We start from the raw sequence: 13,788 nt of genomic DNA, 5'->3' as shown, positions 1-13,788 counted from the left end.
GTGCCCCTGCCAGCCCTGCCGTCTTTCTACCTTCATTTCCCAAGGGGTCACCAGAGAGGGTGATGGCTTACCCAGGGTCACACAGCCAGTCGTGGGCAGAGCCAGGCTTGAGCCTCAGGGCCCAGCCCCTGACCCTTGACGGCCCTGCTTGGCCACTGTTCCCCATGGGGAGAGCAAGGAACACACAGATGAAGTGTCCTCCCCTGCACACCTCTAATCCCAGAGCACATGGTTCTTAGTTGAGGTCCTATGATTGAGGCCATGTGAATGTTCCTTGCTTTTCCCGTTCTAGCCCAGATGAGCCCCTTGGACCTGGGGAATGGACTCCCTGGGTGAATGTGACATTTATCTGTGCAAAGCTGAGGAAAGGACTGAGTGTGTTATTGGTGTGTCCTTTAAATTTGATGGTGAATTGAGTTCATCAAACACTGGAGCATCACTGTGTGCCAGCCAAGCCCTGTACAGGGCAGAGTGGGGGAGCGTGGTGGAAAGAGGTGGAGAGCTACGGGGGGAAACAAGAGCGATGACGGGGACCCGTGGGTATCGGCAGGCCTCAAGGGAGGCGTCCAGCCAGTTTCCCAGGTGTCGAGAGGGCAGAATGTACAGAGGCCAGAGAGCCCCAGGGAGGCCCGGCATGTGTGCAGGAAGCAGGGGAGGTCAGGGGGCAGGGATTGCAGTGAAAAGGAGGCAGGTGGGCAGGGGGCTCAGAGGTGCCCAGGCCCCTGTGGCTCTGATGGTGCTGGGGTGGGGGCAAACCGTCGTCCCTGGGCTGCCGGTTTCACCATTCCAGGGGGCATCATTTCTTTTGCAGCCCCTTGAATAGGCCGCACACACCCTTCTCACCGCTGTGGCCAGTGCGCACTCCCCAGCTCCACCCAGATGGGCGCATGCCAGGTTCCAGCTCTGAGAGCCAGGGTGAGCCTCCTCTCAAGCCCACAGGCCCTTGGAGTTGGAAGAGAGATGCCTCTGTTTGCGTCTGTCTCTGCTGTTGCTCTCTGCCTTACTCTCCCTCCATGGCACTACATCAGAGTGGTTAGGAGCTCGGGGTTCTTTTTTTTTTTTTGAGACAGGGTCTCACTCTGCCACCCAGGCTGGAGTGCAGTGGTGCAATCACGGCTCACTGCGGCCTCAAACTCACAGGCTCAAGCAATCCTCCCACTTCAGCCTTCCAAGTAGCTGGGACTACAGGTGCACCACCATGCCTGGGTAATTTTTTAAATTTTTAGTGGAGATGAGGTCTCACTACATAGCCCAGGCTGGTCTTGAACTCCTGAGCTCAAGTGATCCTCCCGTCGCAGCCTCCCGAAAGTGCTGGGATTACAGGCATGAGCCACCGCACCCAGCTGAGCTCAGGTTCTTAACGGGCCTCTCTGGAAATCCCTGAGTCTCCTCATTTGTGAACTAGCACCTCTTGCCCAGGGACGCTGTCAGAATTAAGTCACGTATTGCGTGTAAAGCCTTGTGGCAGTTCCTGACACCTGGTCTTCCAGCTGCAGTCCTCACTCAGACCCTCCTCACTCATACCCTCCTCACTCATGGCGACACCTCTTTGGAGTCCTGGCATCAGACCTGACCTCAGCGAGCAGAACGCAGTGCAGGATGGAAGGGTCTGGGATGGGGCAAATTCAGGGAGCCAAGAGGGTGGGTCAAGGACACTTGCTGGAGGACCCCCATTACCAAGGAGGAAGGAAAGGTGGGCAGCTTGCGGGGGTGCCGCCTGGGCTCCTGGCTGCACTTGGGGCTGTTCCTTGGCGCCCTGCTGCCTGAGCTCCTCGAAGTCCTTTTTGCCCTGAGCACCCTCCCAGCTGCACCCTCCATCACTCCCAACCCCCAGAAGCCAGGGCTGTTCTGGATCCTCTTGTGGTGGTGTCAGGACTTTGACCATGGGCCAACCAGGCCAGAGCAGACCCTCCCCTCCCTCGGCTTCCTGCCACACACTCTGCCCCTTCCATCTGCTCCCCCATCCCCCTGTCCACCCACCAAGCAGAACATTCTGGTTCTGTGCACATGTGGGCAGCCCCCAAGCTCAGGTGGCCAGTGCAGGAGGGCCCTCCCCTGCACAGGAGAGTGGGGATGGTGTGGTGGTTACGGGCTGGAACTCGGGACTTGGACTGCCTGGGCTTAGGCTCTCACTGTGGTGCTCTTGGCGAGTGGCCCCCTCAGGCAGTTTCCTCATCTCGTTTTTTTTTTTGTTGTTTTTTTTTTGACGGAGTCTCTCTCTGTCGCCCAAGCTGGAGTGCAGCGGTGCCATCTCAGCTCACTGCAACCTCTGCCCCCTGGATTCCAGTGATTCTCCAGCCTCAGCTTCCTGAGTAGCTGGAATCACAGCCACCATGCCTGGCTTATTTTTGTATTTTTAGTAGAGATGGAGTTTCACCATGTTGGCCAGGCTGGTCTTGAACTCCTGACCTCAGGTGATCCGCCTGCCTCGGCCTCCCAAAATGCTGGGATTACAGGTGAGCCACCGCGCCCTGCCTCCTCCTTATCTCTCTCTCTCTCTTTTTTTTTTTTTTTTTAAGTGAGACAGGATCTTGCTGCTGCTTAGGCTGGAGTGCAGTGGCACAAACCTGGCTTACTGCAGCTTCTACCTCCTGGGCTCAAGTGATCTTCCTGCCTCAGCCTCCTGAGTAGCCAGGACTACAGACCCGCGCCACCAAGTCTGGCTAACTTTTTAATTTTTTTGGTAGAGACAGAGTTTCACTATGTGCCCAGAGTGATCTCAAAGTCCTGGGCTCAAGCGATCTTCCTGCCTAGGCCTCCCAAAGTGCTGGGATTACAAGTGTGAGCCACCATGCCTGGCCAGTTTCCTCATCTCTAAAACAGGGATAACATACCTCACAGGCGTGTATGAGGATTACGTGTAAAGCATGAGGCCAGTGCCTGGCAAGGTACCCCAGCAGCATTCCCCGGTGGGTCAGGCCTGCGTAACGTGGCCTTGATGGGTTCTGCCATCAATCAGAGCAAGGTGAGGCGGGCAGCCTGTGCTGAGGGGAGGCTCTGGGCGAGGCCTCAGCTGACACTTAGACTCTTACAGTTGGAGCTTCCATTTCCTACCTCTGTAAAATGGGGGTAATAACTGCAGGATCTTCATGGGTTTGTTGAGGGGATTAAAGTGAGCTATGGCCTTTGAGGCCTGGATCACTCCTTGGCACACAGGGACAGATGTGGCAAGTGTTGCTATGATACTGAAGCTCAGGAAGGTTAAATGGCCCATCTGAGGTTACAGAGTGGGTTGGTGGTAGAACTGGGATTCGAACATGAGAGCTGACAGGTCCATGGATCTTCTCTGGAGCCCTGCATTAATTCCTGCAAAGCTCCATGTGATCCTAAGCTTGGAGGAGCAGGGACCTCAAGCCCAGACCTAGCCTGGCCTGAGGGAGGCCTTCTCCCCACACACATCCCCAGACGCCCACAACCCACCCTCAAACTCCACTTGTTGCCAGGCAAAGATGCAGAGAGGTCCCTGCGTAGGGTGAGGGGAACCCAGAGCAGGGATTCGAGGGGAAGTGGGACTTTCCTCGGGTATGAAAAACACCAAATAGAACCTCCTTCGAATAATGGGAGCCCACTCTGAGCCAGGTGCAAAATCTCCACTTATCACAGCAGCCCCAAGAAGCAGGTTTTAACCCACTTTATTTTTATTTTATTTAATTAATTAATTAATTAATTTTTGAGATGGAGTCTCGCTCTGTCACCCAGGCTGGAGTGCAGTGGCGCGACCTCGGCTCACCGCAAGCTCCGCCTGCCGGGTTCATGCCATTCTCCTGCCTCAGCCTCCTGAGTAGCCGGGACTACAGGCAAGTGCCACCACACCCGGCTAATTTTTTGTATTTTTAGTAGAGACGGGGTTTCACTATGATCTCGATCTCCTGACCTCATGATCCGCCCGCCTCGGCCTCCCAAAGTGCTGGGATTACAGGTGTGAGCCACCGCGTCCAGCCTATTTGTATTTTATTATTTATTTATTTATTTATTTGAGGCAGAGTCTCACTCTGTCACCAGGCTGGAGTGCAGTGGCACGATCTTGGCTCACTGGAACCTCCGCCTCTCTGGTTCAAGCGATTCTCCTGCCTCAGCCTCCTGAGTAGCTGGGACTACAGGTGCATGCCACCACGCCCAGCTAATTTTTGTATTTTTAGTAGAGATCAGGGTTCACCATGTTGGCCAGGATGGTCTCGATCTCCTGACCTCAGGTGATCCACTCGCCTCGGCCTCCCAAAGTGCTGAGATTACAGGCACGAGCCACTGCGCCTGGCCCATTTTTTGTTTTTTGAGGTGGAGTTTTGCTCTTGTTGCCCAGGTTGGAGTACAATGGCATGATCTCGGCTCACTGTGAGCTCCGCCTCCCAGGTTCAAGCAATTCTCCTGCCGCAGCCCCCCAAGTAGCTGGGATCACAGGTGCCTGCTGCCACGCCTGGCTATTTTTTGTATTTTTAGTGGAGATGGAGTTTCACCATGTTGGCCAGGCTGGTCCTGAACTCCTGACCTCAGGTGATCTGCCTGCCTCAGCCACCCAAAGTGCTGGGATTACAGGCATGAGCCACGGTGCCCAGCTAACTCACTTTAAAAAAATAACAGGTGGGGGCTGGGTGTGGTGGCTTACGTCTGTAATCCCAGCACTTTGGGAGGCTGAGACGGGTGGATCACCTGAGGTCAGGAGTTTGAGACCAGCCTGGCCTACATGGTGAACCCTCATCTCTATTTAAAATGCAAAAATTAGCTGGGCGTGGTGGCATGCACCTGTAGTCCCAGCTACTCAGGAGGCTGAGGCAGGAGAATAGCTTGAACCCGGGAAGCAGAGGTTGCAGTGAGCTGAGATTGTGCCATTCATTGCACTCCAGCCTGGGTGACAGAAGCAAAACTCTGTCTCAAAAAAAAGAAAACAAAAAACAAAAACACAGATGTGGGCCTCACGCCTGCAATCCCAGTACTTTGGGAGGCCGAGGTGGGCAGATCATGAGGTCAGGAGATCGAGACCATCCTGGCTAACACAGTGAAACCCCCATCTCTACTAAAAATACAAAAAATTAGCCGGGCGTGTTGGCGGGCGCCTGTAGTCCCAGCTACTTGGGAAGCTGAGGCAGGAGAACGGTGTGAACCTGGGAGGCGGAGCTTGCAGTGAGCCGAGATCACACCACTGCATTCCAGCCTGGGCAACAGAGCAAGACCCTGTCTCAAAAAACAAAATCAAAAAAACTTTCTGGCTGGGCATGGTGGCTCATGCCTATAATCCCAGAACTTTTGGAGGCCAAGGTGGGAGGATTGCTTGAGCCCAGGAGTTTGAGACCAGCCTAGGCAACACAGTGAGACCCTGTCTTTACATAGGCATGGTGGCATGTGCCTGTTGTCCCAGCTACTTGGGAGGATGAGGTGGGAGGATTACTTGAGCCCGGGAGGCCGAGGCTGCAGTGAGCCATGATTGTGCCAACTGTATTCCAGTCTGGGCAACAGAGTGACACTGTGTATCCAAAAAATAAATAAAATAACAGCTTTAGGCTGGGTGCAGTGGCTCATGCCTGTAATTCCTGCTCTTTGGGAGGCTGAGGCAGGCGGATCGCTAGAGGTCAGGAGTTCAAGACCAGCCTGGCCAACATGGTGAAACCCCATCTTTACTATAAATACAAAAAATTAGCTGGGTGTGGTGGCAGGCCCCTGTAATCCCAGCTACTCAGGAAGCTGAGGCAGGAGAATCTCTTGAACCTGGGAGGCAGAGGTTGCAGTGAGCTGAGATGGCACCACTGCACTCCAGCCTGGGCAACAGAACAAGACTCCATCTCAAAAAAAAAAAAAAAAAACAAAAAACCAGCTTTATAGATATAATTCACACATCATACAATTGGCCCATTCAGTGTACAATTCAGTGTTTTTTTTTACTGTGTTCATAGAGCTGTGCAATTTTCACCACAATCAATTTTTGAACATTTTCATCTTCCCTAAAAGAGTTTGAGACCAGCCTAGGCAACACAGTGAGACCCTGTCTTTACATAAAATAGAAAAAATTAGCCAGGCATGGTGGCACGTGCCTGTGGTCCCAGCTACTTGGGAGGCTGAGGTGGGAGGATTACTTGAGCCCGGGAGGCCGAGGCTGTGCCCATTAGTCGTCACTTCCCATCTCTTCCCCACCCCAGCCTTAGGCAACCACTGATCCACTTTCTGTCTCTATGGATTTGCCTATTCTGGCCATTTCATATAAATGGAATCACACAACATGTACATTCCATATCTCACTTTTCACTGTTTTCAAGATTCATCTGTGTTGTAGCAGGTGTCAGGACTTCCTTCCTTTTATATATATATATTTTGAGACCAGGTCTCCCTCTGTCACCCAGGCTGGAGTGCAGCTCACTGCAACCTCCACCTCCTGAGCTCAAGTGATCCTCCCTCTTCAGCCTCCTGAGTAGCTGGGACCACAGCACGCCCACACCCAGCTAATTTTTTGTTTGTTTGTTTTGTAGAGATGGGGTTTCACCAGGTTGCCCAGGCTGGTCTCAAACTCCTGGGCTCAGACAATTCACCCACCTCTGCCTCCCAAAGTACTGAGATTACAGGCGTGAGCTGCTGTGCTTAGCCTATTTATAGATATATTTTTAAATTTGGGGTTTTGCTATGTTGCCCAGGCTGGTTTTAAACTCAGGGCTCAAGTGATCCTCCCACCTCAGCCTCCTGAGTAGCTGGGACTACAGGTATACACCACCATGCCCAGCCTGTACTTCATTCATTTTCATTGCCGAGTAATATTCCATTGTATGGCGATACCACATTTTATTTGTCCATGGACATTTGCGTTGTCTCTACTTTTGGCTGCTGTGAATATCGCTATTATGAACATTCACATATAGGTTATTGTGTGGACATCCTCTCTCATTTCATGGATGAGGAGACCTCCTGCCCAGGCTCCCACAGCTGGGAAGGGGAAGGGGAAGGCTGCCTGGCTGGTTCCAGAGCCTGTGCTTCTTCCTCACCCAGGCTTTGTTCTCTGAGTTGAGCCAAATGCTGTGACAGGCATAGGTCAGGGCACAAAGAAATGAGGCTTTATAGAGGAAGGGATGACAGCCTCCCAGGGCCATAAAAGATGAGTAGAGGAGGAAAATAACATTGCAGGCAGAGAAATAGCAGGCGCAAAGGCCAGAAGTGTTAAGGTGCCCGGTGCCTGGGAACTTCAAGTTCTGGTTTACTGGGTGGAGGTGTGGGGAGGTGAGGGGCAGAGAAAGGGATAGCAGGCAATAGAGTTGGAGACACAGGCACAGAGTAGGTTAGAAAGGCCTTGAATGCAGGCCGGGCGCGGTGGCTCATGCCTGTAATCCTAACACTTTGGGAGGCTGAGGCAGCCGGATCACCTGAGGTCAGGAGTTCGAGACCAGCCTGGCCAACATGGCGAAACTCCATCTCTACTAAAAATACAAGAATTAGCCAGGCGTGGTGGCACACACCTATAATTCCAGCTACTTGGGAGGCTAAGGCACGAGAATCGCTTGAACCCGGGAGGCAGATTTTGCAGTGAGCCAGGATGGCGCCATTGCACATTGCACTGGGCGAGCAAAACTGTCTCAAAAAAAAAAAAAAAAAAAAAAAAAAAAAAGCCTTGAATGCTATGCTAAGCGCCATAGACTTGATCCCAAAGGCGAGTGGCAGGGAGTCCAGAAGGGCATCAGCAGAAGGTGCAGTCAGACAGACCTAAGACAAATCCCATCTCTGGCTTCCTCAAGACTTTTGCTTTAGTTTTATCATCTGGAAAATGGAGATGACAATAATAATAACTTGTTAAAGTGTTCTGAGCATTAAGTGAATTCATGTCCCTAAAGAGCTCAGCCTAGTGCCTGGCAGAGAGCTGGCCCAGCAATGGAAATGGGTGTTGACATCCAAGAGTTTTTAGCAGGGGAGGTCAGACTGCTCTAAAAGGCACGCCCGGCTGCAGAGAGTGACTGGCTGGTTTTGAGGAGGCTGCTGTCCTGGGGAGGCTGGGCTCTCGGAGATGGTGGGGGTGATGAACAGCCACAGGCAGGGTCTGAAGAAGTTTAGGAGGTGGCTTATGCAGACCCCCGCGACTTTGAAAATTGCTTGTGAATAATATCTAAATTCGGAATTGCTTCTCAGCCTTTTGACTGAAATCTCCAGTGTAATCTCTAAATTCTGATCTTTTGGTGACCCCGGGCCTAGTGCCAAACCACCCAGGGCTGGCTTGATGACTTTCTCTGTTCTTCTTTGCAGCACGTCCACGGACGCCATGCTGGGGACTCTGACACCCCTGTCTTCGCTGCTGCTGCTGCTACTGGTGCTGGTGCTGGGGTGTGGGCCGCGGGCGTCCTCTGGTGGCGGGGCCGGTGGGGCGGCGGGCTATGCCCCAGTGAAGTACATCCAGCCCATGCAGAAAGGACCTGTGGGACCGCCCTTCCGTGAGGGCAAAGGCCAGTACCTGGGTGAGAGCCTCCTCACCCCACAGTGCCTCAAATCGCTCCCAGCCCCCAAATCCCCTGCCTCCCTGAGAGCCATCAGATCCTCAGGCGCCCTCCACAGCTCCTCATTCCCCACCAATTTTCCTACCTTCAGTGTTTTTCCTAATACCCCAGAGGGCCTGGAAACGGTGCAGTTAGCTGGCACAGGTGGTCTTCCAAGGGGGAGATGAACTGGGAAGTTGGGAGGTGGGGCTCTGCTCCCACGGGCTCTAAGGTGGGCTGCTGGTGCCACCTGGTGGCCACTCCACCTTCAGGTCATGCAGGGATGAGAGGTGAGAATCAGCCAGGCTCATGGAGGAGGCCCAGCCTAGGTAGGTTGGGTGTTAGGAGCCCTTAAGGAGGACACCCTGTTGCCCCCAAGATGTCCCCTGGGCCACCCCCAAACCCCATCTTCCATGAGAGCAGGAAGGGGCAGCCCCATTCTTCCTCTCCCGTGTACCTCATACTGGAATGGGGGAATGGGTAGATGGGGTCCCCTGTCCCCACAGTTCAGGCCCCTGACTGCCCCTTTCTCTTTCTTTCTCAGAAATGCCTCTACCGCTGCTGCCGATGGACCTGAAGGGAGAGCCCGGCCCCCCTGGGAAGCCCGGGCCTCGGGGTCCCCCTGGCCCCCCTGGCTTCCCAGGAAAACCAGGCATGGGAAAGCCAGGACTCCATGGGCAGCCTGGCCCTGCTGGGCCCCCTGGCTTCTCCCGGATGGGCAAGGCTGGTCCCCCAGGGCTCCCTGGCAAGGTCGGGCCACCAGGGCAGCCGGGGCTTCGGGGGGAGCCAGGAATACGAGGGGACCAGGGCCTCCGGGGACCCCCAGGACCCCCTGGCCTCCCGGGCCCCTCAGGCATTACTATCCCTGGAAAACCAGGTGCCCAAGGGGTGCCAGGGCCCCCAGGATTCCAGGGGGAACCAGGGCCCCAGGGGGAGCCTGGGCCCCCAGGTGATCGAGGCCTCAAGGGGGATAATGGAGTGGGCCAGCCCGGGCTGCCTGGGGCCCCAGGGCAGGGGGGTGCCCCCGGCCCCCCCGGCCTCCCTGGTCCAGCTGGCTTAGGCAAACCTGGTTTGGATGGGCTTCCTGGGGCCCCAGGAGACAAGGGTGAGTCTGGGCCTCCTGGAGTTCCAGGCCCCAGGGGGGAGCCAGGAGCTGTGGGCCCAAAAGGACCTCCTGGAGTAGACGGTGTGGGAGTCCCAGGGGCAGCAGGGTTGCCAGGACCACAGGGCCCATCAGGGGCCAAAGGGGAGCCAGGGACCCGGGGCCCCCCTGGGCTGATAGGCCCCACTGGCTATGGGATGCCAGGACTGCCAGGCCCCAAGGGGGACAGGGGCCCAGCTGGGGTCCCAGGACTCTTGGGGGACAGGGGTGAGCCAGGGGAGGATGGGGAGCCAGGGGAGCAGGGCCCACAGGGTCTTGGGGGTCCCCCTGGACTTCCTGGGTCTGCAGGGCTTCCTGGCAGACGTGGGCCCCCTGGGCCTAAGGGTGAGGCAGGGCCTGGAGGACCCCCAGGAGTGCCTGGCATTCGAGGTGACCAGGGGCCTAGTGGCCTGGCTGGGAAACCAGGGGTCCCAGGTGAGAGGGGACTTCCTGGGGCCCATGGACCCCCTGGACCAACTGGGCCCAAGGGTGAGCCGGGTTTCACGGGTCGCCCTGGAGGACCAGGGGTGGCAGGAGCCCTGGGGCAGAAAGGTGACTTGGGGCTCCCTGGGCAGCCTGGCCTGAGGGGTCCCTCAGGAATCCCAGGACTCCAGGGTCCAGCTGGCCCTATTGGGCCCCAAGGCCTGCCGGGCCTGAAGGGGGAACCAGGCCTGCCAGGGCCCCCTGGAGAGGGGAGAGCAGGGGAACCTGGCACGGCTGGGCCCACGGGGCCCCCAGGGGTCCCTGGCTCCCCTGGAATCACGGGCCCTCCGGGGCCTCCCGGGCCCCCGGGACCCCCTGGTGCCCCTGGGGCCTTCGATGAGACTGGCATCGCAGGCTTGCACCTGCCCAACGGCGGTGTGGAGGGTGCCGTGCTGGGCAAGGGGGGCAAGCCACAGTTTGGGCTGGGCGAGCTGTCTGCCCATGCCACACCGGCCTTCACTGCGGTGCTCACCTCGCCCTTCCCCGCCTCGGGCATGCCCGTGAAATTTGACCGGACTCTCTACAATGGCCACAGCGGCTACAACCCAGCCACTGGCATCTTCACCTGCCCTGTGGGCGGCGTCTACTACTTTGCTTACCATGTGCACGTCAAGGGCACCAACGTGTGGGTGGCCCTGTACAAGAACAACGTGCCGGCCACCTATACCTACGATGAGTACAAGAAGGGCTACCTGGACCAGGCATCTGGTGGGGCCGTGCTCCAGCTGCGGCCCAACGACCAGGTCTGGGTGCAGATGCCGTCGGACCAGGCCAACGGCCTCTACTCCACGGAGTACATCCACTCCTCCTTTTCAGGATTCTTGCTCTGCCCCACATAACCCGCGGGGGGGGTCCTGCTGCCCTGGCCTCCTCCCCTTTAGTGGTAGAGCGACCTTTTCAATTACAAAGAACCTCCTGGAAAAAAAAACAAAAGCTGAACAGAGGCGGCCGTGGCCTTGGCCCGAGGAGACTAACTTGCTTTCTCCCTGCATGCAGGCTGAGATTGTTTCTGGAAGGGGCTGGCCTGAGTTTCTTTCCCCCAAATGTCTGTGCAGTGTCAGGGCTGCACCCCATAGGCCCTGAGGCACACAGCCCAGCCCCTTGTGAGTCCTGGCCTCTGCTGGGCCCTGAAGGAGCTGAGAGGGAGCTCAACTCCCCACCCCGCCACGTGGGGAGACAGCCCTTCCCACTGGCTCCCTGATGGCACCTGCTGGAGGAAAGGGGCACGGCCTCCCTCACAGCCCTTGGCTGGGGCTCCTCCAGCTCCCCCTGGGACCTCCAGCATATGACAGTGGACTAAGGACTGTGGGGTTTTCCTCCAAGGGGAAGGGAGAAGAGGGGACCATCGAGGTGGCGAGTGTGGACACCCTGCCAGGACTGCAGCCCCCATGGTGATGCTGTGGCATCAGACATGTCCGTGGTGGGCACAGTGCCTGTTGCCCTGGGAAAGGGCAACCTCCCTTTCACTGCTCCAGTGGCAGCCATGGGGAAGGCAGTTTGTGAGGGCTTGGGGCACAGACCTGGGGCAGGAGGCAGCTCTTCACGTTCATCCCTGTCTCTCCCGGGCTGCCCCCGCCAGCTCTGGCTGTTTAGCTTGAGGGCAGCACAGAGGCCCCTGGGACACCTACAGGCCAGAAAGATCAACCTCTGTGAAGTGTCTAGAAGTATCTAGTGCAGATGGTGGCGGAGGCAGAATCGACCATCAGCAAACATGAGCACTCTTCCCTTTCTCCCCTTCCACCTGCTGCGGGCTGGGCTGGTTTTCTCAATACAAAATTGTAAGAGGATCCTTGTCACCCCAGCCAGGTATCCCCAAGGCAGAGCACCTCTCGTTTGGCCCTCTGAACAAGGTGCACGCGAGCTGGGGGATGAAGACGGCTCCCACTTCCTTTTCCTTAATAAGAACCATATGGTGGGTGTATGTGTGTACAAGAGGGGTTCATCTGTGGGGGCTTCCTCTCCTTCCACCCTCTGGTTCCAATTTCCTGTTCTAAGCAGGACTAGGGCCCAGGAGGCTAAGGCTGGGAGAGAAAGGGTGCCAACAGGTCCCTTGGGAATGAGTTGGCTCTGGACGTTTCTGCCCTGTTCCCCGATCAGAGCTCCTCTGCAGGAAACAGGCAGGATGCCCCTCCCAACCCCTCAGTCCCTACGTCAAGCGGAGTGGATAAGGCTGAGATGAGTGCTGGGAGTGGTGGACATTCCTGCTCGTGCAAAGATGGCCACTTTCCCCGCAGCTGCAGGGCCTCGCGCTCGGCCCTCGCCAGGCCAGCCCCACTCCTTGTACCAAGTGTGAACTGGGGTCATTCGGTCTGTGATCTCGTTGCACTGCTCCAAGTCTGGCTGTGTCCAGGCGGTCCATGTTGAAAATGGAGGATGGCTGCTGACTTCTGACTGGCTGAGCAGTGGGTTCCTTCAGGTTCCTTGCCAACCCTCCTCCCCTGCCCACAACTTCTCCAAACAAAGCAGGCTGTTTGCTCACTTCTTCAAAAGGAGGAATGATAACCCAAATCTGCCCAAGTGACACTTGAGAAGGTTTTGGCTGGGGTTCCTGGTGGATTTCTTACTACCTAACGCCCAAGAAAACCAACTAAGGACTCTCAAACCATACCTGGTGGGGGTTCTTCGCTCAACCTCTTCTTCCCTAGGTCAAAGCCACTATCATCTGATGTGTTAGGGATGGGTTCTGATTGGCAGAAATTAATCAGCTCCCAATGGGAGCCCACGGAACTAAGTAGGGTCCCAAGAAAAAAAACGGGAGCTATTTCACAGAGCTGAGCTTCTGCCAAATTTCATTCCTCAAACCTTTCAGGAGGGGTGGTTGGCGTTTCTAAAATGTTTATGGGATTTGAGTTGCAGGTGTCCACTTAACTGACTAGCTTTGATAAACAATGTCAGATTTTAACTATGAAAACGACATTACCTTGTGCATTTTTATATTGATTCCTATTTTTTTTTTAAGATTAAAGTTTAAATGTTTTCCACTAGTCATTTCACTTCTAACTTGGTATAGGAAGCTTAGCTCTCTACATACCTATCATGTGCCCTGTATCACAGAAGATTCAGGAAAAATGCACTTGGGAATCAAAGAAAATGGAACTTCTTTTTGAAAAGACAAGCAACCATGTTAACTGTATTGACACATCCTCAATAAAACCTGTTGTATAAAACAGCACTGTGCTGAAACTGATACTGACACAGAGGTATCTCAAGCCTCTGGGTTCTGTAAGGTGTCCAGGAAGCTCTCTGGGGCTTGTGTGCCTGCTCTTAAGGATCATGCACTCCTCACCAGCTCCCTAACCTGGATTTCTGTCACCACCACATCACAAATGCCTGATGCTCGTAAGCTGCTGAGGCCATGCGCCAGGCAAATGCCAGGAGGCATTTTAAGAAACCAAAGGCAGGTAGTGGCTGGAGCTGGGGGCGATGGCTCAATCTTTACTGGAATATTCCTGCAAGCTCTCAGGGCTAGTGGAGCATGACAGCTGGCTCAGTAGTCCGAGGGCCAAGTTTCAACATCTGATACAAATTATGAATGAAATCATGAATCTTTGCTCCTAAGGGCTGGGCTAGTGTCAGGCCCAGTGCTGAAGACAGGCTGGGGGAGCTGTCCTGGGCGGAAAGCACCTGCTCACAGCCTGCCATGCTCAGCCACGAAAGATCTGTCCCTGGCGCTGGGGGTCTGGGTGGCAGACCTGAAGCAATCTGTGTTTTGAAGAGTCCTCAGCCTAG

At 55.5% G+C, this 13,788-nt stretch overlaps 1 protein-coding gene across 2 annotated transcripts in view, besides 2 other annotated features; it reads left to right on the top strand.

Annotated features, from left to right (window-relative positions):
- COL8A2 (collagen type VIII alpha 2 chain) overlaps nt 1-13,228 on the top strand; it is a 29,984-nt gene extending 16,756 nt beyond the window's left edge. The window contains exons 3-4 of one of the 2 annotated variants that reach the window (NM_001294347.2): nt 8,209-8,272; nt 8,980-13,228. In NM_001294347.2, coding sequence (NP_001281276.1) covers nt 8,982-10,898 — 1,917 coding nt within the window. In that variant the 5' untranslated portion in view covers nt 8,209-8,272; nt 8,980-8,981 and the 3' untranslated portion in view covers nt 10,899-13,228. Of the gene's footprint in view, nt 1-8,208; nt 8,418-8,979 lie in introns of both variants that reach the window. The other variant, NM_005202.4, reaches the window with a different exon arrangement.
- Nucleotides 8,275-8,404: a silencer, noted in NCBI's record as "silent region_654". NCBI's record gives its function as "represses an Ori minimal core promoter by ATAC-STARR-seq in GM12878 lymphoblastoid cells {active_cell/tissue: GM12878}" and the evidence as "EXISTENCE:reporter gene assay evidence [ECO:0000049][PMID:35858748]".
- Nucleotides 10,485-10,993: an enhancer, noted in NCBI's record as "H3K27ac-H3K4me1 hESC enhancer chr1:36563075-36563583 (GRCh37/hg19 assembly coordinates)". NCBI's record gives its function as "activates a minimal SCP1, AML or CMV promoter by ChIP-STARR-seq in naive and primed H9 embryonic stem cells {active_cell/tissue: H9 hESC(naive and primed)}" and the evidence as "EXISTENCE:reporter gene assay evidence [ECO:0000049][PMID:30033119]".

The sequence above is a fragment of the Homo sapiens genome, chromosome 1, assembly GCF_000001405.40.
Source record: "Homo sapiens chromosome 1, GRCh38.p14 Primary Assembly".
Classification (NCBI taxonomy): domain Eukaryota; kingdom Metazoa; phylum Chordata; class Mammalia; order Primates; family Hominidae; genus Homo; species Homo sapiens.
Note: the sequence above shows the minus strand (reverse complement) of the source record. Positions and strands in the feature narration are given on the sequence as shown.